Raw genomic sequence first — 27,936 nt, 5'->3', positions numbered from 1 at the left:
TGGGCTGTTATGAGAACTTAATAAGGCAACACGTAAAGTGTTTTGCACAGTGCATAGAACATAGTAGATACTCACATGAAAGCTGTTATTGTTATTATTTGGTAGGAGAGAAAATTTCTCATAAAGGCTTATTCGTTTTTTGTTTTTTTTTTTTGATGGAGTTTAACTCTTGTTGCCCGGGCTGGAGTGCAATGGAGCAGTCTTGGCTCACTGCAACCTCCGCCTCCCGCGTTCAAGTGATTCTCCTGCCTCAACCTCCCGAGTAGCTGGGATTACAGGCGCGTGCCACCACACCCGGCTAATTTTTCGTGTTTTTAGTAGAGACGGGGTTTCACCATGTTGGCCAGGCTGGTCTTGAACTCCTGACCTCAGGTGATCCACCCACCTTGGCCTCCCAAAGTGCTGGGATTACAGGCGTGAGCTACCGCGCCCGGCCAAGGTTTATTCTTAACATTACCCTGATAGAGAACTTGGTTGGTGGATCACCTGCTGCAGTAGCAGCCACGTCCACTCAAAAACCTGGAGTCCCAAGGGCCATCAAGCTGCAATAGTAACCTGAGCTGCCTAACTGGGGTCGTAGGGAAAGCTAAGGAAACTTGCCCCCTGGTTAGAATTGCACCTAGCCCACTGAGGAGGTGAAGCCTTGAGAGATTTTACCAACTCCTAACGCGTATTCGTCATTCAATAAGTATTTATTGAACGTCTTTCGGCGCCAGTACCGTACAGCTGGGTACAAAATAGACAGGGCCTCCGTTCTTGCAGAGCTGTCTGTCATTCTATTTCACGCGCTCTTAGTTCAGCCGGCGCTTTCAGAAACATCATATTGTTGGATTCTCGCAAGCATACTACGGTTAGGGCCGGAATTATTATCTTCATAACATAGATGAGAAAAACAGTGCAGAAAAGCTTTTGCAGCTCGAGTCAGAGTCCACAGAAAGTAATGGGCTCGAGCTTCAAGCACCTTTGGTCGAAGGGCCGCCGCGGTCCACCCCGCACCCCGGCCCTGGGCGCTCAAACCGCAGCCGGTGCAGCTGGGCTCCGGAGCCCCTCGGTCAAGCAGTGCCGCGCCACAGTTGGGTCTTCCGGGTTTCTGTCTCAACTATGCACGCCCCTCCCCCGTGCGCGCCCCTCACCTGGCCTCCCAGCTACCCGAAGTGACAGGTGGACGGAGGGAGGAGTGGCCAGTGGAGGCATCAGTTGCCGGAAGCTGTCACCTTTGATCTCGGAAGTTCCCCCTTGCTGCTGGAAACGCAGTTCCGGTTAGGCGGCTGAGTTTGTTTACGTTGCTAACAGATCTAGCCCCTGCTTTCCCTAGTTCCAGTTCCAAGATGGGGAAATCCTTCGCCAACTTCATGTGCAAGAAAGACTTTCATCCTGCCTCCAAATCCAATATCAAAAAAGTGAGTAAACAGACCCGGGGAGGGATTAGGCCCACAGGGACCGCCTTCCCAGAGGCTGCTGGAAGTGAAAGTGATGGTGTCTCTGAGATCCCTAGGACAGCCTCCGCTTCTCTAGGCCTAAAGCCCTGGTGGTCTCGCCTTTCTCTGCTGAGCAGCTCGCTGACGCAGCGGGTCCTCAGCGTTTATTCTGCAACAGCGAGGAGACCGGTGGCCTAGAGAATCTTTGTCGGCCAGAATGCAAATCCATAATATGCGAAGACTAATGTCAAAATTCCTCAGTACTTCCTTCAGCTGATTCTGGTTTTTTGTCTTTTCGGATCCCAGGGATCACGGCTTCTGAACTCTACTTTTCTGTACAAAGAAGCCTCCCCGTTTACTTAAGATAGATCTTTAAAAAAATTACCTAATAATCTAGTGTCTTTTTGATGACTAAACTCGTTGAAGTTTAGTGTTTTACATAATTACAGGTCTACCAGTTGTAATACTTTGGTGAATATCATAGTAATGAAAAGCAAAAGAGTGAAGTAGAAAGAATCAGCTTTGGAGTCAAACCTGGATTCTAGTTATTCGAGCAGTCACTTTTAGCCTTAAGACCTTGCACAAAATATTTGTAATATCTGACCCTCAGTCTTCTAATCTGTAAATTAAGGATGATTGACTTAATTGTGAGGATTAAGTGAAATAGTGAAGATAAAGGATTTGAAACAACGTAGGCATCTATCACTGTGTCCACTACAGAGAGGAGGTGCTCAATAAAATGTTGATTGCCCCTACATAGAAACTTGTGAAAATAACTAAGCTTTTATTTGTTTTTAGAACGAGTTGAGGTGATGAGATACTGCTATATACTCTCACTTCTAGACCAGTGATTCTCAACTTTTTTTTCACTGTTACCTTCCTAAGGAGTCTTATTAAACATTTTTTCTTAATAACTCCCCCATGAAATTTTAATAACACAGATACACCTTGAAAGCTCTTTGGTAATCATCCAGCCCCATCTCCTCATTTTATAAATGAGGAAACAAATTTGCCAAGAGTTACACAGCTAGTTAAATGTTGTACCAGAACTAGGATCTGGAACACCTGATTAACCCAGTGATTTTTTTTCCACTGCACCAGTTTGTGTTTGTGTGGTTGCAACTGTGGGAGGGAGAGGTTTCTTGTATTTGGTTGGCTCAATAACTTTTGACACCAAACACAGACATTTCCTTTCTCTGCATACTTAGGGGGTCAGCTGTTACTATTTTTACAAGAATGAAGAGATTAGATGGAATTCAGGTGCTTGCTTATTTGCTGTTTATATTTAGAGACAAATATACCTGAGAAATCATAATTTTTTACTGGAACTTTTGACATTTCGCTTTATAAATTTCAATGTATCAGCTTTCTTACAAGAAAAAAGAAATCCACAGAGAATAACTTTTGCAAGTCCGCTATGAGAAATTCAGTAAAGCAGTTATAGGCTTAGAACCTACATTCTTCTCATCTGTGTAAAGTGTTATGTAAAATGTACCAAATATTGTTGGCCTCTTTGATCTGTTTTATACTTTTCCCAGGATAGAGGAGAAGAATGAAATGTTTTTGATTAGCAGACCTTTCTAGATAGTTAACACTTTATGGGGAGAGGGGGTGACCTCTAGCATTCTTTATTAACTAAGGATAAAGGAACTATATTAAATGAAGATAAATAGAAAAATTTATTAGGGTAGGAGGAAACTTTTGGAGGTGATGGATATGTTTATAGTGTAGATTGTGATGATGGTTTCACAGGGATATACTTGTCACCAAACTCAGGTTGTATACATTAAATATGTACAGCTTTTTATATGTCATACTCCAGTAAAGTTTTTTTTTTTTTTTAATAGAAGTGGAAGAAACAAAGGAGTTTGATCAAAGAGTGCAAAAGAGTTCCACCATGAAAATTTTAAGGGCCAGGTATGGTGGCTCATACCTATAATTCCAGCACTTTGAGAGGCCAGGAATTCAAGACCAGCATAGGCAACAAAGTGAGACCCCATCTATATTTAAAAAGAAAGAAAGAAAATTCTAATTGTAAAATTAGGCATGTTGGGTTTATTAAAGTCCAGTAGGTTCTTTTTTTCCTTGTTTGTTTTCAGTTTCCCAAGCTTATAAAAAGTCCAGTAGGTTTTAAGGTCTCATTTGTTCACCAAAAATAAGAGTGAATGCTGTATATCTGCTGGTCACTCTGTTGTGTATTGTTATGCGCTGCCTCAATCATTTATGTCACAGGATACACTGTTTTGTTCAGCTGTTCTTTTTTTTTCTTGATTTTGTTAATGAAGGAAGCAGTTAATTTACATTGTGGTCCAAGCTCTTTAGTCTTCTTGTGGACTGGCAAACAGTTCATAAACTGGCTATTGACAATTGCATCACTGTAAACTCCCTTTTTTGTGAAACTCTCTGTTCCCTTAGCTGTAATAACTACTCTCTTCTAGTTTTCCAGCTCTCTTATTAGACTGTTCTTTTCCCATCAACTTCACTGGATCTTTATTCTTAGCCTGCTCCTAAAATATAAGTGTTCCCCAGAGTTTCATCCTTGGCCCACTTCTTGCTTACTTAGTATGCTTGCCCCAAGCAATCACATCCAACTAGCCTGTTTTAACTAGCCTGTTTACTCATGACTCAAATCTGCAGTCCCAGTTTTCTCTTCTTAACTTTGATGTGGCTCAAGACAGCTATCTACTAGACATTTGCATCTTGATGTCCTATAGGCACCTCAAACTCAACATATCTGATATAAAAGTTTTTTACCCCAAATCAGCCCTTTTTATACTTGCTATCTCATATGGGTAGAAATATAGATAGTAAAACAGTCCCTCATCCTGTTGCCCAAACCAGAAGCTCAGGATTCATCCCTTTTCCCATCACTCCTTTATCTAGTCAATCACTGAATGCTATTGGTCTTACCTTCCAAATATCTCTTGAATCCATCTTTCCTTTCTGTCACTGCTGCTTGTGTCTTAATTCAGACCCTCATCATCTTTCACCTATATTGTTGCATTTCCTAAGTGGTTCTACTGCCTCCAATCTTGAGTCCTCTCAAATCCATTCACTACACAGCCATCAGAATAGTCATTTTTCATTTTAACAGCTCTGCTGAGATAAATTTACATATCATACAAACACCCATGTAAAATGTACAATTTAGTGGTTTTTAAAATGTATTCATGGAGTTAAGTAATCATTACCACAAACAATTTTAGAACTTTGTCATCACCCCAAAAAGAAACCCCCGCTGGGCATGGTGGCTCACACCTGTAATCTCTGCACTTTGGGTGGCTGAGGTGGGTGGATCACCCGAGGTCAGGAATTCAAGACAGCCTGGCCAACATGGTGAAACCCTGTCTCTACTAAAAGTACAAAAATTAGCTGGGTGTGGTGGCGGGCGCTTGTAATCCCAGCTACTTGGGAGGCTGAGGTGGGAGAATCGCATGAACCCGGGAGGCGGAGATTGCAGTGAGCCAAGATTGCGCCACTGCACTCCAGCCTGGGTGACAGTGAGACACTGACTCAAAAAAAAAGAAACCTGCATACCTGTTAGTCACTCCCATTTTTCCTTAACTCTTCTCCCTCTCTCCAGCCCTAGGCAAGCACTAATCTACTTTCTGTTAGTGGATTTGCCTATTCTGGAAATTCATTTAAATGGAATCATGCAATCTGTGGTCTTTTTTGACTGGCTACTCTCACCATAATGTTTTTGAAGTTTATCCATGGTATGGCATGTATTGGTACTTTTTCCTTTTTATTGCTAAATAATATTCCATTGTATGAATGTAAGTTATTTCGATAGAATTGTCTTTTTTTAAGCACAAATCTGATCTCTTTCAGCCTGTTATTAAAATATTACAGGATTGAGTCCAAGTAATCTCACTCCATCGTTTTTCTCCTTCTCCCCTCCTACTATTCTCCCACCTCAGATTTATTTATTTATTTATTTTTTGAGATGGAGGCTCACTCTGTTGCCCAGGCTAGAGTGCAGTGATGCAGTCTCAGCTCACTGAAGCCTCTACCTCCCAGGCTTAGGTGATTCTCCTGCCTCAGCTTTCCGAGTAGCTGGGATTACAGATACACACCACCACGCCTGGCTAATTTTTGTATTTTTAGTAGAGATGGAGTTTCACCATGTTGGCCAGGCTGGTCTCAGACTCCTGACTTAAGGTGATCTGCCCACCTCAGCCCAACCTAAGATTTTATATGTTAGTAATATTGAACTACTTACGTTCTATTTTATATCTCTGGGCCTTTGCCTGAGTCATTCTCTCTGCCAGTTATATCTTGCCCTGTTTTTTTCCTTGGCCATGCCTTGATCCTTTTCAAAACCCTGTCAAATGTGTGTGAAATTACCTGTGTATTGAGTTCTTGCAGCAAAATTTTTAATAGCAAAATACTGGAAATTTCTTAAGTGCCCATTTATACAGTATGAGATAAATAAATTATAAATTATGGTATAGTCCCACAATATGCAACTTTACCACCCAAAAGAAGAAAGTGTTTGTTTACTGATCCATATTAGTCTTGTATTAGTATTAGTCTGTTCTCATGCTGCTATGAAGAAATACCTGAGACTGGGTAATTTATAAGGAAAGAATTTTAATTGACTTGCAGTTCTGCAGGGCTGGGGAGGCCTCAGGAAACTTAAAATCATGGCAGAAGGGGAAGCAAACACGTCTTTCTTCACATGGTGACAGCAAGGAGAAATGCCGAGCAAAAGAGGAAAAGCTCCTTTTCTGATGGTTTTATCCATCAAATTTCCTGAGAACTCACTCACTATCACGAAAACACCATGGAGGTAACAGCCCCTTTTATTCAGTTACCTCCCATCGGGTTCCTCCCACGATACGCGGGGATTATGGGAACTACAATTCAAGATGAGATTGGGTGGGGACACAGCCAAACCATACCATTCCACCCCAGCCCCTTCCAGATCTCATGTCCTCACATTTCAAAACACAATCCTGCCCTTAACAACCAAAGTCTTAACTCATTCCAGCATTAACTCAAATGTCTAAGTCCAAAGTCTCATGTAAGACAAGGCAAGTCCCTTCCACCTATGAGCCTGTAAAATCAAAAGCAAGTTAATGACTTCCTGGATACAACAGGAGTACAGGCATTGGGTAAATACACCCATCCCCAATGGGACAATTTGGACAAAACAAAGGGGCTACAGGCCCCATGCAAGTCCAAAATCCAATAGGGCAGTCATTAAACCTTAAAGTGCCAAAAGGATCTCCTTTGACTTCATGTCTCATATCCAGGGTGTGCTGATGCAAGAGGTAGGCTCCCAAAGCCTTGGGCAGCTCTGCCCCTGTGGCTTTGCAGGGTATAACCCCTCTCCTGGATGCTTTCATGGGCTGGTGTTGAGTGTCTGTGGCTTTTCCAGGCACATGGTACAAGTTGGTGGATCTACTATACTGGGGTCTGGAGGACAGAGGCCCTCTTCTCGCAGCTCCACTAGGCAGTACCCCAGTAGGGACTCTGTGTGGGGGCTCCGACCCCACATTTCCCTTCCGCACTGCCCTAGTAGAGGTTCTCCAAGAGGGTTCCACCCCTGCAGCAAACATCTGCCTGAACATCCAGGTGTTTCCATACATCTTCTGAAATCTAGGCAGAGGTTCCCAAACCTCAGTTCTTGCCTTCTGCGCACGTGTAGGCCCAACATCACATGGAAGCTGCCAAGGTTTGGGGCTTGCATTCTCTGAAGCAGTGGCCATAGCTGGAGTGGCTGGAATGCAGGGCACGAAGACCAAAGGTTGTACCCAGCAGTTGAGAGGCTGGACCCGGCCCAGGAAACCACTTTTTTCCTTCTCCTAGGCCTCCAGGCCTATGATGGGAGGGGCTGCTGTGAAGGTCTCTGACATACCCTGGAGACATTTTCCCTTGTCTTGGTGATTAACATTCGACTTCTCATTATTTATGCAAATTTCTGCAGCCGGCTTGAATTTCTCCCCAGAAAATAGGGTTTTCTTCTCTATTCCATTGTCAGGCTGCAGAATTTCCAGAATTTTATGCTGTGCTTCCTCTTGAATGCTTTACTGCTTAGAAATTTCTTCTACCGGATACCTTAAGTCATCTCTCTCAAGTTCAAAGTTCCACAGATCTCTGGGGCAGAGGCAAAATGCCACCAGTTTCTTTGCCTAGCAAGAGAGACTTTTACTCCACTTCCCAAAAGGTTTCCCATCTCCATCTGAGACCACCTCATCCTGGACTTCATTGTCCATATTACTATCAGCATTTTGGTTAAAGCCATTCAACAAGTCTCTAGGAAGTTCCATACTTTCCCACATCTTCCTGTTTTCTGAGCACTCCAATTCTCTAGGAAGTTCCAGAGTTTCCCACATTTTCCTGTTCCAACCTCCACCTGTTACCCAGTTCTAAAGTCACTTCCACATTTTCGGGTATCCTTTTAGCAGCCCTCCATTCTACCTATACCAATTTACTATATTAGTCTATTCTCACGCTGCTATGAAGAAATGACCAAGACTGAGTAATTTATAAAGGCAAGAGGTTTAATTGACAGGAAACTTACAATCATGGCAGAAGGGGAAGCAAACATGTCCTTCCTCACATGGTAGCAGTGAGGAGAAGTGCTGAGCAAAAGAGGAAAAACCCCTTATAAAACCATCAGATCTTGTGAGAACTCACCCACTGTCATGAGAACAGCATGAAGTGTAACCGCCCCCATGATTCAATTACATCCCACCGGGTCCCTCCCATGACACATGGGGATTATGGGAACTATGATTCAAGATGAGATTTGTGTGGGGACACAGCCAAACCATATCAGATCTCCATGATATATAATTTTATTTTATATATATTTTGTGTGCGTGTGTGTGTTTGCGTAAAATATGTTACCATTTATATAAGAAGAATGTGGTATATGTTCTTTTGCATATATATATATATTAGAACATCTTGGAAGGATATATAAGAAATGTATAACATTGACTACCTATGAATATAGTTAATATAATTTAAACTATAAATACAGCTTTGAAAAAACCCAAACTTGCTATAAAGCATTCTGTGGACTGGGCACAGTGGCTTACGCCTGTAATCCCAGCACTTGGGGAGGCTGAGGCAGGCGGATTGCCTGAGGTCAGGAGTTCAAGACCAGCCTGGCCAACATAGCGAAACCCCTTCTCTACTAAAAATACAAAAAAATTAGTTTGGTGTGGTGGCAGGGTCCTGTAATCCCAGCTACTCCGGAGGCTGAGGCAGGAAAATCACTTCAACCTGGGAGGAAGAGGTTGCAGTGAGCCAAGATCATGCCATTGCACTCCAGTCTGGGTGATAGCCAGACTTCGTCTCAAAAATAAAAAGAACTCGTATCAAGACACTTCAGATTTTTCAGGTGTTAATTTGTAATGATGTAATTGCGGCCAAATTGGATTATGTTGTAAACTTTCAGCCAAGTTTATCCAGCTCTTGGCCTGTGGGTCACATGTGGCCCAGGACGGCTTTGAATGTGGCCCAACACAAATTTGTAAACTTTCTTAAAACATTATGAGATTTTTTTGCCCTTTTCTTTTTTTTAGCTCGTTGGCTATCGTTAGTATATTTTGTGTGGCCCAAGACAATTCTTCTTCTTCCACTGTGTATTAGTGTGTTTTCTGTGGCCCAGGGAAGCCAAAAGATTGGGCACTCCTGCTTTAAACAATTGCATTTTATATTTTATTATACAAGAAAAGCAAAGTTTGTTTAATTTAAATCCAACAATTTAATTTGCATTTTTACTTCACTAATCTAGGTATGGATGGCAGAACAGAAAATATCATATGATAAGAAGAAACAAGAAGAATTGATGCAGCAATATCTTAAAGAACAAGAATCATATGATAATAGGTAAGAAATTCTGTTATGCCAGTATATCTAGAATTATCAATTTCATGGGAATAATTTCCTACTGAATGATATATTAAGTCAGTTTTTTGGAATCAAATACCCAATTATAGGATTCGTGTCTTTCCGTGAGGGCTATCTCTTTTACTCTCATACCTGTAGATGACCACTTTTTCCAGCTTTACCCATAATTCACGTAAAATATAGATTCACGTGACTCATATACAGTCTTTGAGCAAGTCTCAAATTAGGCAAAGCTTAGAAGAACAATCATGTCTACACTTGAACTGCTGAGACCTCTTACAGACTTATTTCTTTAACACAAAAGATACCCAGCATACTTTCAAGAGGAAAGGTAAAGTGACTTTATTTGACACGCATGTCATTGTTCTGTTAAAAGCTGTTTCGTGGCTAGAGTTCTTCATTGGTGTCTTCTAACATGGTACCTGCCTTTAACTATTGTGTTTGTATATGCAGATCTAACACTGAAGCTGGTTTCTCTTGGTTAATCTTAAGCCACTGAATAGTGGTGTTTTGGTAAATTGCCCATGAAGTTCAGTTTTCAATCAAAATATGGAATTTAGCAAACTAATACTAAACTATTACTACTCTTTAAAATATAATATATTGAGAGGAAAGTTAAAGAAATAAAAGTTAAGTAGCTTTCTCACTAATTTTATTTAATCTTAGTAACTTTTATTGAGTACTCCATGCATGGCAATAAGTGGTATTATAGGGACCTATAAAAGTGTGTGAAGTGTAGTTTATCCTTAAGAAACCCTAGTAAGAGATACAAATACATATAGTTGAAGGCCAAATATAATAACTGATATATTAAAAACATACACTGCTTTTAAAAATACAGCATGTTAGTATAGGAAATAATAATTCCATTTAGGTTAACAGAAGACTTTATGGAAGAGGTGACATTTAAGCTGAACTCTGAAGAATGATAAGGATTTAGATAGGTGGTTCTCAACTGAGCGCCGTTTTTTGCGCCCTCCCTGCCACCCTGCCCAGGGAACGTGGCAATGTTTGGAGACATTGTTTTGATTGTCACAACTGCGGACTGGGGTGCTATCAACATCTAGTGGGTGGAGACTATGGATGCCGCAAAACAGCCTACAATGCACAGGACAGCTCCACACAACAAAGAACTATCTAGTTCAAAATGTCAATAGCATCACTGTTTAAAAACCCTAATTTGGTCGGGCGCAGTGGCTCATGCCTGTAATCCCAGCACTTTGGGAGGCCAAGGCGGGCAGATCACCTGAAGTCGGGAGTTCGAGACCAGCCTGACCAACATGGAGAAACCCCGTTTCTACTAAGAAATACAAAGTTAGCCAAACCTGGTAGTGCATGCCTGTAATCCCAGCTACTCAGGAGGCTGAGGCAGGAGAATTGCTTGCACCTGGGAGGCAGAAGTTGTGCTAAGCCAAGATCACGCCACTGAACTCCAGCGTGGCCAACAAGAGCGAAACTCCGTCTCAGATAAACAACAACAACAAAAACCTTATTTTTATATTATTAATAGTAAAAACATATTGGAAAATGGAGAGGGTATTCAGGAAACAGTTGTTGAGTTAGAGGGATAAAAACAGAGTGGAGGTGAAAAACTAGGTTTGAAACAGATCACAGTGTTCATGTTTATTCTTTATCTTTAAAAAAAGTTACTATTTTCCCTTTTAATTAATATTTGAAGCCCTGCAAATACCCTGTTTCTCCTTGGACTTTTGCCTAATTTTGGTATTCATCAGTAGATCTTGCTTGCATCAATTATATATTTCTGTGATGTTCTAATGGTTATTTTCTATTTCTATCATTCCCTCTACATTTATTAATTTGAATTCCTCTGTAAGGAAGAATTTCCCTTATCTAGTTACTATTAATTTTCTATCAATATGGACTCATGGCTGTTTATTTAATTCTTTGGATTATAATATAATACTATTGTTACTTATTTTCTTGCTCCAGTTGTTTCAGTTTGGGCCATTGAGAGCTCTGTTAGATTGGCTCGTATATCCATTTAACATGCACCAACCCTGTTTTGTTTTGTTTTTTTAATGCTGCTTCTGGTCCCACAAGGTGGTCAGACTCGTCTTTTATTTTCCCTGCTGCAGCATTGGAATCAACCAGTTTTCTTAGGCACCCAGATTCCTTTCATTGGTGAATGATATTTAGAAACCACGATCTGAGCACTAAGTGTGTTCATTGCTACTAAGATATTATTACTTCTAGGTTTGGTCATTTGAATGCAAATTTATGAGTAATTGGTCATTTGCCAAGTGTTTATTTCTTCCTCATTCAAAAGTACTGTTTTTGATAGCCAATTTCATTCTTCAGTAATCTATTGTTTCTCTTTTGTTTTTACTGTCCTAGAGATTTCTTAATGTTTATTATATCAATCACCTTAGTCGCTTTATACTTTTTTCCTAAGATGAAAAAAAAAATTTTTTTTTTTTTTTTTTTTTTGAGAGGAAGGTCTCACTCTGTTGCCCAGGCTGGAGTGCAGTGGTATGATTATGTCTCACTGCAGCCTCAAACTTCTGGGTTCAAGCGATCCTCCTGCTTCGGTCTCCTGAATAGCTGGAACTACAGGCACACACCACCACACCCAGCTAATTTTTTCTTTTTTGTAGAGACAGGGTCTCTCACTCACTGTGTTGATCAGTCTGATCTTGAACTCCTGGACTCAAGCAATCCTCCCGCCTTGGCCTCCCAAAGTGCTGGGATTACAGGCATGAGCCGCCATGCCCAGCTGAAAATCACATTTATTATTCTGTCTAGATACATACAAAGATTTTATGGGATGTCAAAAAAATCTATGTAAATTTTCAGTTGAGGTTGAAACAAAAATACCAATATTATACCTTTACCTTTTATTTTATATATGTCTTGAATTTTGCATAAAGTGGAAAACAATCTTTTAGTTTGGGTTTTATTATTATTTTTTTTCAATATAAATGAATTGGGCTGGGCACAATGGCTTATGCCTGTAATCCCAACACTTTGTGGCAGGAGGATTGCTTGAGTCCAGGAGTTTGAGACCAGCATGGGCAACATAGTGAGACTTTGTCTCTAAAAAAAACCCCAAAAAACAAAGAGAAATAAATAAAAAATACACATATAAATGAAATGGTTTGTCTGTGGGTTTTTTTGTAAAATATATATTGCATAAAATTTACCATTTTAAGTGTGCAATTCAGTGTACCCTTAAATTCAGTGTGGTGAACCATCATCATTTCCAAAACTTTTTCGTTATCTCAAACAGAAACTTTGTAACCATTAAACCATTAAAGAATAATTCCCTATTCCCCTTGGCCCACAGCCCCTGGCAACCACCATTCTACTTTCTGTGTCTATGAATTTGCCTATTCTAAATGCCTCATATAAATTGAATCATATATTTGTTCCTTTGTGTCTGGCTTGTTTCACTTAGTATAATGTGTCCAAGGTTCATATATGTTGTAATATGTATCAGCACTGTATTCCTTTTTGTGGCTGAATAATTCTCTTTTGTATGTACATACCACATTTTGTTTATCCATCTGTTTGAGTATTGGGTTACTTCCACCTTTTGGCTATTGTGAATAATGCTGCTATAAACATTGGCATAGAAATACCTGGTCAAGTCCTTGTTTTTAGTTCCTTTGGGTATATACCTAGGAGTGGAATTGCTGGATCACATGGTAGGTTTATATTTAGCGTTTTGAGGAACCATGAAACTGGTTGTCACAGTGACTACACAATTTTACATTTCCTACTAGTAATGGACTTGGGTTTCAGTTTCTCCATATCCTCTCTAACATTTGTTATTTTCTTTTTTTTTTTTTTTTTTGGAAGATAGCTAGCCAGTAGGTGCAAGGTGATATCTCATTGTGATTTTGATTTGCATTTCCCTAATAACTAGTGATACCGAGCTTGGCTTTCAGTGTATTTGATTTTGATTTTTTTTTTTTTTTTTTTTTGAGACGGAGTCTCACTCTATCACCCAGCCTGGAGTGCAGTGGTGCGATCTCGGCTCACTCCAACCTCTGCCTGCGAGGTTCAAGCGATTTTTGTGCCTCAGCCTCCCAAATAGCTGGGACTACAGGTGCCTGCCACCACGCCCGGCTAATTTTTGTATTTTTAGTAGAGACGGAGTTTCACCATGTTGGCCAAGCTGGTCTCGAACTCCTGACCTGAGGTGATCCACCCGCCTCAGCCTCCCAAAGTGCTGGGATTACAGATGTGAGCCCCCGTGCCCAGCTGATTTTGATATTTTTAATGATGTGAATTTAAAATGTAACTTATACACCTGTTTAAAGTGTTTGTTGTTTTTAAGTATATTTAGACTTTTGGAGCCATCACTGTAATCTAATTTCAGAACATTTGCATTATCCAAAAAAGAAATCTTCTACCCATTAGCAGTCACTTCTCATTCCCCTGCCTTTTTCTCCTTCTACCTCTCAGCACTGAGCAGCCACTAATTTACTTGCTGTCTCTATAGATTTACCTATTCTGGACATGACCTATAAATTAGATCATATGTCATGTGGTCTTTTGTGACTGGCTTCTTTCACATAGCATAATGCTTTTGAAGTTGACCCACGGTATTGCATATACTAGTACTTCAGTCCCTTTTATTGCTGAATATCACTCTATTTATATCTACATATATTGGATGTAGATCCCTGTGGCCTTTTGCTTCTTTTTTACAGGTCTTTATAGAATCCAGTGGATATAAGGAGAGGAATTATACTCATGTCATATATCCTTTGTGATTGTCTTTTCCAAATATAAGGAGAAATTATATTCACTCTTTAGCCTCCTTCTTTATTATTTTTACTTGGATCTTATGAATTAAAACTTTGACTGAACCAGTCATTCCATTTGTTACAGAGCTTTTTTTTTCTAAAAAGCCTAGTGTATCTTTTTTTAAACAGAGCTCAAACAGGGAACTTTGAGTGTTAAAACAGAACTATAAAGAATGTGATTTTTGTCATGCACCAGACACTGAGTCCATCATACTACTTGGCATGTGTAGACTTTTTTGCTATTGTTGTTTTTGAGACAGAGCCTGGCTCTGTCGCCCAGGCTGGAGTCCAGTGGCACGATCTCGGCTCACTGCAACCTCCGCCTCCCACATTCAAGTGATTCTCCTGCCTCAGCCTCCCGAGTAGCTGGGATTACAGGCACGCAGCACTACGCCTGGCTAATTTTTGTATTTTTGGTAGAGACGGGGTTTCTGCATGTTGACCAGGCTGGTCTCAAACTCCTGACCTCAGGTGATCTACTTGCTTTGGCCTCCCAGCGTGCTGGGATTACAGGTGTGAGCCACTGTGCCCAGCTGCAGACTTTTATTCTTTTTTCACTGGCCTCACGAAAGAATTTTATTTTCTCATTTACTGTGACTCTTACAAGCCCTGATTGGATTTGACTTCCTAAAGAAATCCCTGAGAGACTTATTTTTTCCAAAACTGATTCCTTTGCCTTTTCTTTTTTTGGTGGGAAAAAACAAAACCGTTTGATCCCTTACAATCAAGAAAAAGTGTTGGCACTATTTAACTTAATTGTAAATTTGTGATGGCATATGGGATTTCAAAGTTGTCATAATTTCCACAGCATTTCAGGGTTTAAGAAAATCCTGTAAGAAAAATGACCATGTTATTTTTCCCCTTTTTTGTTAGGATGGGTAGGATCTCTCAGGTAGTAAGAAAGTCTCAGAGCTTATAACTAGTTACTAAAGAGACAGCACTGTTTAATTTCCATTCAGATGTAATCTAGTTAGTGGAGTAAAGTTTTAGAACTCTGTTTCTAACAAAAATATTTTATCTTAATTCCCTTAGGCTTTTTGGTGGGGAGTGGATTATTCTATAATTTTTTTTTTTGTCCTACATAAAATCGTTAACTTTGTCTTGTTTCACTTAGATTGCTTATGGGAGATGAACGTGTAAAGAATGGCCTTAATTTCATGTATGAAGCCCCACCAGGAGCTAAAAAAGGTACTTATCTTCTTCCGTTTCTTTTTTTCTTTCTTTTTTTTTTTTCTGAGGCACAGTCTTGCCCTGTCGTCCAGGCTGGAGTGCAGTGGTGCCATCTCAGCACACTACAACCTCCATCCACCTCCTGAGTTGGAGCAATTCTCCTGCCTCAGCCTCCCGAGTAGTTGGGATTACAGGAGCACGCCACCACGCCTGGCTAATTTTTGTATCTTTAATAGAGACAGAGTTTCACCATGTTGGCCAGGCTGGTCTTGAACTCCTGACCTCGTGATCCACCTACCTCGGCCTCCCAAAGTGCTGGGATTACAAGCGTGAGCCACCGCACCTGGCCTCCTTCCTTTTCTTTTAAGTCTTTGATGTGTTTGCAGCTAAACATGGAAAAGTACTATGACAGATATTTTTTTAAAGTTGCTCTCCATCTTTTAAAATTGCTGTTATCCTGTGAAGATAATAAAAACTATAATCATACAACAGAATAAATACTAAAAAATATCTTTCTAATCTGATAATATTTCATAATGTGCCCTTTGAGAAGGAAGAAACTTTCATGTCCAAAGTACACTTATTCTTTAATAATTTGCATATGTATCTTTAGTCCTTCTTACTAAATATTTAATGCATTTGTAAATAAAAAACATAATATTCACTGTCAATGAACAGTGAAAAGTTTAAAAACTGTGAATTAACATACTTATTAATTTTAATTTTGTATTTTGTCCTGCAATAGTCTGAATTTTTATCATGTGAAAGAAGAAAAAAAGTCAAACCAATGAATTCTTACAAGTGACAATTAAATAACATGATATCATAGTGTATACAGTAGATTTTTATATTGAAGTTTTTAACTTGTCATACCTTTTTTCTTCCATATTTTTGATATGCAATCAAGAAAACAAAGAGGTAAAGTACTATTTTCTATGTCTGAATTTACTTGCAGTTGATTGTATTATATGGAAAAATTAAAAGAATTTTCAATGAATGTTTTTAGAAAGAAGAAACAGAAGGAGAGACCGAATACAAATTTGAATGGCAGAAAGGAGCCCCACGAGAAAAGTAAGGACTGGTTTACTTTTAAGACAAGATATGTATCATTAAGTTTACATTTACTGATATCCCATCTTATGTTGCTTTTTCAATCATTAGAGGAGGCAACTGATGTGAAAAGTTATCTTTAATGATTTTAATTAGCTGTCTTATTCAACTAATCTGCTTGCTCATAGTCTTTTGTTTTATATACTTTTTCATTTTTTTAATATCACAAATTATCAGACTAGACACATAATAACTAAATGGTGTTTGGAAATACTAGATAGATTTTATAGTTCTGTATTCTTACTGAAGTAATATATTTCATAATGTTCTTAGAACTGTAAAACTATTTTTCTGATTAACTGCTGTTTAATTTTTTAAATTATTCTTAATATTGTGTTTGTACATTTCCTCTATTTAATAGATATGCCAAAGATGACATGAACATCAGAGATCAGCCCTTTGGTATTCAGGCAAGTGACACATATTTTACTCTGTAAGAATAATTTTTATTTAATAAATGTATCTTTATATTGTTGTCTAAAAGGTGTTTAAGCTGAAAAGGGGCACTATGGTTTTTATTTGTATCAGATAATATAAGGAATAGAGGAGAAAACATAAAATGTAGTAGGCTGATAAAAGACAGAAATCAGGCTGGGTGTGGTGGCTCATGCCTGTAATTTCAGCGCTTTGGGAGGCCGAGGCGGGCGGATCACAAGGTCAGGAGTTCGAGACCAGCCAGGCCGACATGGTGAAACCCTGTCTCTACTAAAAATGCAAAAAATTAGCTAGCCATGGTGGCAGGCGCCTGTAATCCCAGCTACTCAGGAGGCTGAGGCAGGAGAATCGCTGGAACCCAGGAGGTGGAGGTTGCAGTGAGCCGAGACTGCACCATTGCACTCCAGCCTGGGCAATAGAGCGAGACTCCATCTCAAAAAAAAAAAAAAAAAAAAAAAAAGACAGGAATCAAACTTTTATAGTGAGAGCTATAATGATATTGGTCTCTGCAGTTTTCAAAAAATTTGGAGAATCAGCTCAAGGTCAAGAAAAGATTTAAATCTATTATTGGTTTAGAATCGGGACAGACTATCATCAGAGGGCAAATCCTTGTAAAGAAAGTTTTATTGGAACACCGCTTTGCCTATTCATTTACTTATTGGCTGTGGCTGCTTTCCCACTGCAGCAGCAGAGTTGAGTCGTTAGAATAGACAACATCTGTCCCAAAAAGCCTAAAATATTGACTACATTTGGACCTTTACAGAAAATGTTTACCAGCTCCAGGTTTTGAAATTTGAAACTTTAAAGGTTTACTTATTAAAATGAGAGAATTTAAGCTTAAATTCTTCACATAACGCCCTAATTCTTTTTGGTATTTTACCATTTCTTTTTGGATGACATTATATTGCCACCAAGTGAGAGGCAAAAAGAAATGGGATTCAGCTTAGTTTCTAGGCAAAATTTATAGTGAAAGATTTTAGTCTTTGTATTAAATTACCAAACATAGTTTGGAGTCTTTTTCCCTGGAGATCTTTTAAAAATGTAATTTAGCTTAAATTCTATCAAGGAATAGGAATTTGAACATTGGTTAGATTCTTACTTTTTTAGTAACCAAAATCACATTCATTATTTCTCAGGTTCGAAATGTGAGGTGCATTAAATGTCACAAATGGGGTCATGTCAACACAGATCGAGAATGTCCTTTGTTTGGTCTTTCTGGAATCAATGCAAGTTCGGTTCCCACTGATGGCTCAGGTAGGCACTAGACATGATTTGTTTCGGGAGAGGACAAACAAGGAAAGATAAAACAACATTTTTCTTTACTCTTTCTGGGTATTGTTTTATTTGGGTTTGTGTGTGGGGCTTGTTTGTTTGTTTTTGACTAAGACCATTCCCAAAATATGATTAATGGGAAACTCTGATCATATATGTTGAATTAAAATGCTGTGTAATAGGATTAAGTTTAATTTTTCCAGCCAAAGGCCCTATGAACTAAGTTTTAAAGTAAAATACATTAAACATAGTTTATCAGGCTAGTAGCCTAAAAATGGAAGGAAAAAATGCTTATTTCTCATACTCATATCCTGAATTATAAAAATAGACTGTACTGAAAGCCTCAGCAGCCATCTCTTTTTAGTACAGAGGTAAAAACAAAGCTGAGTATGTTAAAATTGTTTTTTACTTAAAGTTACTTACTGTCCTACATATTACTGTCTACTTCAGAAAAATTGATCTAATTTGGTTTAGATTATTTTGGTTCTTTTTCTAAAGAGATATTAAACTGAGAAGTTTTAACTTAAATTTATTAGTGCTTTGTTAGTATATTATTGAAACAGGCACAATAATCCAACCCTAACCTGTAATAGATCATAATAGAAATAATCTGTTTAATCCTGTAACCTTAAGCAAGTCCTTTCACTTTTATGAACTTCAGCTCCTTATTTTAAAATAAGGGTGATAGTATAACTCAGAGATTTTTTGCATTTTTAAAGCAGCTAGAGAACCTTTTTTTTTTCTTTTAAGAAATCTTACATGAAACCTCAGTATACAGAACATATAAAAGCAGGGCTGCTCTATTGAAGCAGATGCTCTGGGCATGAAGCCCTGTCCTCTCAGGCCACCAAGGCCTGTGATGCACCTCCTTAGACTTCCTTTGGCTTTCACTGCTGCCTCATTCTGAGCCCAGGGTTTACCCTCAATCAACATACGTTCTTCAGCCACTAATCACTAGCTAGAGATCCTGCTTCTTTCCAGCAAGCTGATTCAGGCTATAGGGTTCAAAGTGCCAGTTCTCCTATTAGGGGTTTAGGAATTTGATGAATAAGTTTGGTTTTTTTTTTTTTTTTTTTTTTTGAGATGGCGTCTGGCTCTGTTGCCCAGGCTGGAGTGCAGTGGCGCAATCTCGGCTCACTGCAACCTCCAATTTCCGGGCTCAAGCTCTCTTCCCACCTCAGCCCCCCGAGTAGCTAGCTGAGACTACCGACACACACACCACCATGCCTGGCTAGTTTTTGTATTTTTTAATAGAGATAGGGTTTTGCCATGTTGCCTAGGCTGGTCTTGAACTCCTGGGCTCAAATTGATCCACCTGCCTCGGCCTCCCAAAGTGCTGGGATTACAGACATGAGCCACCATGCCTGGCCAGTAACCACCTTTTAAGTAGAAGGAAACTATTTGTGCAGTTTAAGTAGAAGGAAATTATTCGCTCAGTATTGTCAGGTGACACAACAGGTCTGGCAATCTCTGACAAAAGAACATCCCACTGATACCCCAGTACAGGTACCCTTAAAAGCTTACATACCTAATGCCTCCTCCTCCCTTGCCCCCAGCTAACTAGTAGAAGAAGGGAGAAAGGCCTCAAAGGAAATAAAGCCCCAAAGAAAATGGAGTGGTGTGTGTTATATACCCGTTGGCTCAAATATTTCTGACCACTTCTTTTTTAGTCACAGGGATTTGTTGTTATATCTGCAAGTATAACCTGTTTTCTGGAAAGGGTTGCATCTTATCTTTTCTTTCACTCGAACTTTATAGTGCCCCTATGACTGCATGACTCATGGGTTGACTTGGGACAGGCAGAAGTAGTGGTTGTCTTTATGCCTCAGCCTTGTGTAACTCTGATCCTGAGTAGTATAGACTCCAGACTCAGTGCTTTCTTTTAATAATCAGTAGACTTGATTTTCTTTGAGTCTGTATTAGAAAGTCTGCTAACATTCAAAAGAACTTGTGCTAACTGAATAGTTAACCTGTTTTTAAGAGTATTGAAAACACTAAAACCTCAAAAAAACATGCCCATAATTATGTGAATTCAGATATAATAAAGCTGGTTATTGGCTCTTCTCCAGCCCTCCATTTCTTTCTTTTTTTTTTTTTTTTTTTCCCTGAGACAGAGTCTCGCTTTGCCACCCAGGCTGGAGTGTGGTGGCACGATCTTGGCTCACTGCGAGCTCCGCCTCCCAGGTTCATGCCGTTCTCCTGCCTCAGCCTCCCGAGTAGCTGGGACTACAGGTGCCTGCCACCACGCCTGGCTAATTTTTTTGTATTTTTAGTAGAGACAGGGTTTCACCATGTTAGCCAGGATGGTCTTGATCTCCTGACCTCATGATCCACTCGCCTCGGCCTCCCAAAGTCCTGGGATTACAGATGTGAGCCACCGCGCCCGGCCCTCCAGCCCTCCATTTCTATTCATTAACCTTATAATAACTCAGTCACTCAATTTATACAATTGACATTTTTGGAACCCTCTTATGGTGGGGTTTTACTGTGGTACTATTCCTTAGTAAAATGAACTTTTTCAGGATCAAGTGAATGAAGTAGAAAAAATGCTCAAGTATTTGGTTCCTATCAAGTTTTAACATTTATGTAACCAGGCTTAAGAAGTCTACATATTAGTGATTCTTTTTCTCTATCTAAATGAATTGAGCACCTGGGTGGGAGAAGATGAGAACATTACCTTTGTGGAAATAGTATGGTTTCTCTGCATGAGGCGGATACCCCTAACATATAAAATGTTCTTTCAGGGCTGGGCATGGTGGCTCTTGCCTGTAATCCCAGCACGTTGAAAGCCCAAGGCAGGAGGATTGCTTGAGCTCAGGAGTTTGAGACCAGCCTGGGCAACGTGATGAAACCCCATCTCTACAAAAAATACAAAAAATTCTAGCTGGGCTTGGTGGTCTGCACCTGTAGTCACAGCTACTTGAGAGGCTGAGGCAGGAGGATTGTTTGAGCCAGAAGGTTGAGGCTGCAGTGAGCCAGGTTTGCACCACTGTGCTCCAGCCCAGGTGACAAAGCGAGACTATCTCAAAAACAAAAATGTTCTTTCAAGTCAATAAGAAAAAGATGAACACGCAAACATAAAGGAGCAAAGGACATAAAGATAGTTTACAAAAGGAGGAATTCAGATGACCATTAAACATATGAAAATATTTTCAACATTAATAACCAAAGGAATGAAAACTAAATATGTTACCTTTTTGCCCATCGAACCTTGGTAAAGATTTTTAAAAAGTATGCATCCAATATTGGCACAAGTGTGGTAAAATGAACATTTTATTTTGTTTTTTGGTTTTTTTTGAGACGGTGTCATCCTGTTGCCCAGACTGGAGGGCAGTGACACGGGTCTCAACTCACTGCAACCTTTGCTTCCCAGGCTCAAGCAATCCCCTCACCTCAGCCTCCTGAGTAGCTGGGACTCACAGGCATAAGCCACCATGCCCAGCTAATTTTTGTACTTTTTGTAGAGATGGGGTTTCACCATGTTGCCCAGGCTGGTCTCAAACTCCTGAGCTCAAATGATCATCCCACCTCAGCCTCCCACAGTGCTGGGATTACAGGTGTGATATACCGTGCCCAGCCAAAATGAACATTTTAATCCTCTCTTGATAAATTAGAGCAACCTTTCTGGAGAGGTTATATATTTGCTGATATATATCAAAAGCCTGAAAAACATGCATACCTTTTTACCTAGAAATTTGCCCTCCAGTAATTTATTTAAAAAAGTGATAAGGCAGATTTTCAAAGATTTATAGTAGTGAAAGATTGGCAACAACCCTAAATGTTCATCAGTGGTTTGTAAGATAAACATATTTATTCAATCATCATTTATGGAGCACTTTTTCTGTGCCAGGCCTTGTTCTAGGCTCTAGGAACAGAATACCAAAACCTTTCATTATATTGGGAATGACACACAGTAAACTAATAAATAAGAAAATCTCAGGTATTTATAAGTGCTGTGATGAATGTTTAATTGGTTACTGTGATAAGAACTAAATGGGGAATTACTTTAGATTAAGTGATCAGGAAGGGCTCCTCTAAGGAAGCAATGTTAAGCTGAGACCTAAATGACAGGAAGGATGCTGGCATGCAAGACATGGGAAAAGAGTATTGAGCATCTTAGGCAAAAGGAATAACCTTTCGTATAGAGGAAACCATCAGTTCTGAGAAGCCATGTACTTAGCGGTTAAGCACACAGACTGAGGAGCTGTGGAGCTACACAGCTGCCAGGTTTACAGCCAGGCATCTTTGTAGCTCCATACGTAGCTAACTGCTTTGCTACTTAGTGTCTGTGTAACTTTAGGCAAGCTGCTTAACATCTCTCTGCCTGCATTTGCTTAATTCTTAGAACTGAAGTTTTTTGCTTACTTTTTGAAATAATTGTATTTGCCAATTCTGTATTTGACATCTTGCACATCAGCCAGTAAGTTTTATTTTTTTGAACCCAAGCTCATAGAAGATACAGGCACAACCCCTGATTTACAATCTAATCAGACACATCAAAATAACATAGAGTAATCCCAGTTTACAACCTAGTCAGGAAAACAAAGTACAGTATTACGTAAGGCTCTATTTAATAGAGAGTAACTGAGTGTTAAATTATGTAGCTAATAGAGGAGGTGGGACTAAAATGAGCTTTGAAGAATTAAAACTTAGGTAGAAAGAAAGGTTGACCAAAAAAGAAAGATTCAAAGAAAAACATAAGCACAGAAGATTTAACTTGGATGACTTTAAATGATAGCAACAGATTTAAATGGCTCTCAAAAAGCTGGCCGAAAGGGCTTGGCCACTGATGCTGTAGCCAGTGTTTACTCAAACTTACCTAATGTAAAGGTTCACTTAAGTATTTTGTGTAAATGTTGGTTCCCAAGCCCCTGTTGCAGAGGGGCTGTTGTAGAAGAGCCCTGAGAGGAGGGAGAAGTCTGAGCATCTTACTCTCCAAGATGACGTTCACGATCTGAAAGTTTGGTGAAACCATTGTAAGCAAAATTAATGCCATGGAAGAGTGTGTGTGTATGTGTGTGTGTATGTGTGTGTTTTGCTTGTGAGAAACAGGCAAAACATACACACACACACACAGGGGGATAGTATTGAGGAAAAGGAAAGGTGGTAATGTGTTGAAAGAGCTTTTTTTTTTTTTTTTAAGGTGAGGGAAGACATTTTCAACATTTCTAATTTTTCACCATTGTAAACAGTCTAAATATCCAGCCCTAGGGGAATGGCAAAGTCAACTGTTGATATCTTGAGTAAACTAAGGAATACAATTGAATCTATGCTATGATTCTAATATAAATCTATGGGCATGTAAATTAGGACTGGAAAGAAACAGAAAAATTAAAATAGTATGTTAATTAGGTGAAATTACAGGTAATTTTATTTTTATATTAAAATGTGTGATTAAAAAGAAACTTAAAATTTAGGCTTTTCAAACATTGACTGTCACATGATATTCTTCAGAAGGCTAATGTTTTCCTTTGTACTCCTGTATTAAACTTATTTTCAGAATAATTGGAACAGCTAAAAAAAGCAGAGTTACTGGTGTGTTGTAAAGGCTATGTTCATGATGAGAAATAACTAGCCGACTGAATTAATTCTTTGTCTCAGTCTTATAGAATAAGATGCTAGGGAAATTTCCATTTCCAGTTTTTCCATTCAAACTGACATGGTTTGAGAACAAATACTTGTAAATACATTGGATATTTTAATTTCTTAAATCTTGTATCTTAGAATGTCTGAACTCTATGATAAAATTATGATTTAAAAAATCAGTAACTTTCACCATCTGTGATGCCACATAAAATGATGAAAGTTACTGATCTATTTCTTAGGCATCATCAAGGTTGAGAACCATCAGCTTAAACTATATGTAAGAACAATTGACGATTTGGGAGCAAAGTACATTTTTCTGTTTCTTTAAATTATGTTTTACTTATTACAAAGTCATGAATCTACCCTAAGGAAATAATCATGGATATGTTCAAACATTCAGTCACAAAGGATTGTATATAATATTACAGTAAAAGAGAGGCCAGGCTCGGTGGCTCACACCTGTAATCCCAACTCTTCGGGAGGCCAAGGCAGCCAAATCATCTGAGGTCAGGAGTTTGAGACCAGCCTGGACAACACTGAGAAACCCTGTCTCTACTAAAAATATAAAAATTAGCTGGGCGTGGTGGTGGCGCCTGTAATCCCAGCCACTCAGGAGGCTGAGGCACGAGAATCGCTCAAACCTGGGAGGCAGAGGTTGCGGTGAGCTGAAATTGTGCCACTGCACTCCAGCCTGGGCTACAGAGAAAAAAAAATAGAGAAAGAACACCTAGATATCTAATAAAATGATATTAAGTGAGTAATTATAGAATATTGTTACAGTGGAATATTATCCCATTAAATGATATGAAGATTTCTTAATGATATGGACATTGTTTACAACCTTTGGTCAAATAAGAAAAGCAGGTTATGAAACAGTAGTTACATTTGTGTTTCTCTTTGTATCTTTAGGTAGACATGTAGACAGAGAGACAGATACTTTTAGAAAAAGGATTGGAAGGAGATAGACAAATATTAACAGTGGTTGTGTCTGGGTGGTAGGATTACTTGCGACTTTTAATTTCATCTTTTTGGCTTACCTGTAATTCCATTAGTGAAGGTACATTACATTTATAAGTTTTTTAAATTAACATTGTTTTAGAAGAATTAAAAACTGTACATAGAAGTAAATTATTTAAAATTGAATTGCTCAATTAATGCCTTTAAAGTTTGACTTAAAATTTAGCAGTAGTACTTAACTAAAGCTAATAGAAACTCTTAAAGATTTCTCAAAATCAAAATCAAAATTCTGTATGAAATAGGAAAGCAAATAATGATGTTGTGTTCTGAATTTGAATGCAATGAAAAATAAACTGACCAATTTTCTAATCCACTTGCTGATTCAAGCTACAAAAAAAGTCTTTTCATTTAAAAAAAAATCACCTATTGAATAATGTCTCACCAGTGAATAGAGATTATTTTTGCAATAAGGCAATTTCAGTGGATGTGGTTATCATGGGATAATCACACTCCTGGGGTACAGCCTTGTGCCTGTAATCTCTCAGGAGTGTAATTATTTCATGATAACCACACCCCCTGGTGTTGCATTATTTCTATTATGAAATTCTTAGTTTAGTATATAAAGTAACTTACTTTGATCACTGGAAACTGCAAGGTGCTGTTAGAATGTTCCAGCTGTGAGGTTTACAGAGACCAGCATAAGATTTACTTCTCCTTTGCAAAGTTAAATTAGGCAATCAAAATGCTTCTTTGGGCTAAAATGGTTTAGAATATCTTTTCTACTGATAAGATCATCTTAACTTTATAAGTTTTCATCCACTCCAGATAATCAAAATTATATGTAAAACTTGTAAGCTTCAGTGCTGACTGAATTTTTATAAAATATTTTTATACTACAATACAATTAAATGGCCAGCCCACCTGGCTTTTATCTATATTCTATAGCCCTTATTCTTATCATTGACTCTTAACATCTGTCAGCTACTTGTGTTTTTAATGTATATTTAAATTAAACATTTTTAAATCCACAGTGGGATATATCAACAGCAAGTTTGTTTTCTTTTAACAACTTTCGTGAACTATAATTTGCATACCATACAATTTACCTATTTGAAGCATACAATTCAATGGCCTTTAGTATATTCACAGAGTTATACATCCATCACCACAGTCAATTTTAGAATATTTTTGTTACCCAAGAAAGATACCTGTTAGCCCTCACCCTCTAGTCCCCAGCCTCAGGCAACCACCTAATTTTTTCTGTCTCTATAGATTTGCCTACTCTGTACTTTTTATATAAATAGAATCATATAATATGAGTGAAAGAACGTGGTTTTAATACCATTTTCTTTGCCTTTGAATTTCACAGTGTAATACAAGTAAAACCACTGATACCTGCCCCACATTCATCCATGGAGCATTTTTCTTTTCTTTTCTTTTTTTTTTTTTTTGAGACGGAGTCTCGCTCTGTCACCCAGGATGGATTGCAGTGGCTCGATCTTGGCTCACTGCAAGCTCCACCTCCTGGGTTCACACCATTCTCTTGCCTCAGCCTCCCAAGTAGCTGGGACTACAGGCGCCTGCCACCACACCTGGCTAATATTTTTTTTTAGTAGAGATGGGGTTTCACCGTGTTAGCCAGGATGGTCTCAATCTCCTGACCTCGTGATCCGCCCACCTCGGTGTTGCAAAGTGCTGGGATTACAGGCGTGAGCCATGGTGCCCAGCCCGTAGAATGTATTTTTCTGTGATGCTTAAACACATACACACAGCAGAGTGCATAGTCTTATAATAATTAAAGTTTCTAACCCACAAGGGGATAAGAATTTGTGTATAGGTACCTATAAAGCAAATTAATGTTAGTAAGATTGTCAAAATAAATATAAAGCAAAATTCTATCTATTAAGTAATTCTTTTCCCCAAGCAAACAAAGATTTTGCACATCTTTCCATGTTTGAATTGCAGATTTATTTCTTCACAAAGCAAACAGGTAACACTAAACAGTCACTCTGGGCCAGGTGTGGTGGCCCACACCCATAATCTCCTCACTTTGGGAGGCTGAGAGGGGAGGATAGTTCAAGACCAGCGTTTGAGACCAACTTTGGCAACACAGCAAGACCCTATTGCTACAGAAACTTTTTGTAAATAAATAAACAGTTACTGTATAGGAAAGCTAGAGCTGGGGTTGCTGGGAGTGCTAGCTCTCCTTCAGCCTGCTTCTCAACCACCCATTATGCCCGCCGTTGAACTCAGCTCTACACCAGCAGTGATAGTGGATGAACCAGCCCTGAAACTCTAATGCAGGCATGCCTTATTTGATCATGCTTCACTTTCTTGCCCTTTGCAGATGCTGTGTTACAAATTGAAGGTTTCTGGTAAGCCTGTGCTGAGCAAATCTATCAGCACCAGTTTTCCAACCGTATGTGCTTACTTTGTCTCTGGGTCACATTTTTGGTAATTATTGCAATAATTCAAACTTGTATTATTATATCATTATGGTGATCTGTGCTCAGTGATCTTTGACATTACTATCGTAATTGTGTTGAGATGCCGCAAACTGCACCTATAGAAGATGGCAAACTTAATGGATAAACATTTTGTGTATTCTGAATGCTCCACCCACTGCCTCTTCCCTTATCTCTCTCCCTTTCTTCAGGCCTCCCTGTTCTCTGAGACACAATGATATTGAATTTAGGCAATTAATAACCATACAGTGGCCTCTAAGTGTTCAAATGAAAGGAAGAATCACACATCTCTCACTTTAATCAAAAGCTAGAAATGATTAAGCTTTATAAGGAAAGCATGTTGAAAGCCGAGATAGGTAGAAAGGTAGGCCTCCTACACCAATTAGCTAACTTGTGAATGCAAAGGGAAAGTTCTTGAAGGAAATCAAAAGTGCTACTCCAGTGAACACACAAATGAGAAAAAAGTGAAACAGCCTTACTGCTGATATGGAGGAAAATTTAGTAATCTGGATAGAAGTTCAAACCATCCACAACATTCCCTTAAGCCAAAGCAAGGCCCCAGACTCTCTTCAACTCTGTGAAGGGTAATAGAGGTGAGGAAGCTGCAGAAGAAAAGTTGGAAGCTAGCAGAGATTGATTCATAAGGTTTAAGGGAAGAAGCCACAACCCTAACAAAACTGCAAGGTGAAGCAGCAAATGCTGATGTAGAAGCTGCAGCAAGTTCTCCAGAAAATATAGCTAAGATAATTGATGAAGTTAGTTACACTAAACAACAGAGTTTCAATGTAGATGAAACAGCCTTCTATTGGAAAAAGATGCCATCTACGACTTTCATAGCTAGCAGAGAAGTCAGTACCTGGCTTCAGAGCTTCAAAGGACAAG

The 27,936-nt window shown here is 39.0% G+C and overlaps 2 protein-coding genes across 12 annotated transcripts in view, besides 3 other annotated features; one reads left to right on the top strand and one right to left on the bottom strand.

Moving 5' to 3' along the window:
• Positions 1 to 1,221, bottom strand: part of SCRN3 (secernin 3) — a 34,342-nt gene extending 33,121 nt beyond the window's left edge. For 4 of the 11 annotated variants that reach the window (NM_001412206.1, NM_001412209.1, NM_024583.5 and 1 more), the window contains exon 1: positions 1,134 to 1,221. Coding sequence is in view for 2 of the 11 variants with exons in the window: in NM_001193528.2 (NP_001180457.1) it covers positions 1,134 to 1,194 (61 nt within the window). In the remaining 9 variants the exon portion in view is untranslated. Of the gene's footprint in view, positions 1 to 75 lie in introns of all 11 variants that reach the window. The other 7 variants (NM_001412208.1, NM_001412203.1, NM_001412202.1 and 4 more) reach the window with 6 other exon arrangements.
• Positions 293 to 793: an enhancer, noted in NCBI's record as "H3K4me1 hESC enhancer chr2:175260886-175261386 (GRCh37/hg19 assembly coordinates)". NCBI's record gives its function as "activates a minimal SCP1, AML or CMV promoter by ChIP-STARR-seq in naive H9 embryonic stem cells {active_cell/tissue: H9 hESC(naive)}" and the evidence as "EXISTENCE:reporter gene assay evidence [ECO:0000049][PMID:30033119]".
• Positions 1,239 to 27,936, top strand: part of CIRSR (corepressor of RBPJ and splicing regulator) — a 47,691-nt gene continuing 20,993 nt past the window's right edge. Inside the window, exons 1-7 of the mRNA NM_004882.4 lie at positions 1,239 to 1,400; positions 9,172 to 9,266; positions 15,174 to 15,247; positions 16,137 to 16,147; positions 16,236 to 16,300; positions 16,701 to 16,749; positions 17,911 to 18,028. Of these exons, the coding sequence (NP_004873.3) occupies positions 1,329 to 1,400; positions 9,172 to 9,266; positions 15,174 to 15,247; positions 16,137 to 16,147; positions 16,236 to 16,300; positions 16,701 to 16,749; positions 17,911 to 18,028 (484 nt within the window). The 5' untranslated portion in view covers positions 1,239 to 1,328. The remainder of the gene's footprint in view (positions 1,401 to 9,171; positions 9,267 to 15,173; positions 15,248 to 16,136; positions 16,148 to 16,235; positions 16,301 to 16,700; positions 16,750 to 17,910; positions 18,029 to 27,936) is intronic.
• Positions 1,291 to 1,340: an enhancer, noted in NCBI's record as "active region_16772". NCBI's record gives its function as "activates an Ori minimal core promoter by ATAC-STARR-seq in GM12878 lymphoblastoid cells {active_cell/tissue: GM12878}" and the evidence as "EXISTENCE:reporter gene assay evidence [ECO:0000049][PMID:35858748]".
• Positions 4,727 to 4,891: a silencer, noted in NCBI's record as "fragment chr2:175256788-175256952 (GRCh37/hg19 assembly coordinates)". NCBI's record gives its function as "represses an EF-1alpha promoter that drives an FKBP-Casp9 reporter gene in an ReSE screen in K562 erythroleukemia cells {active_cell/tissue: K562}" and the evidence as "EXISTENCE:reporter gene assay evidence [ECO:0000049][PMID:32094911]".

This window comes from Homo sapiens, chromosome 2 (genome assembly GCF_000001405.40).
Source record: "Homo sapiens chromosome 2, GRCh38.p14 Primary Assembly".
Classification (NCBI taxonomy): Eukaryota; Metazoa; Chordata; class Mammalia; order Primates; family Hominidae; genus Homo; species Homo sapiens.
The sequence above is the reverse complement of the archived record's forward strand: the minus strand, read 5'-3'. Positions and strand labels throughout refer to the sequence as shown.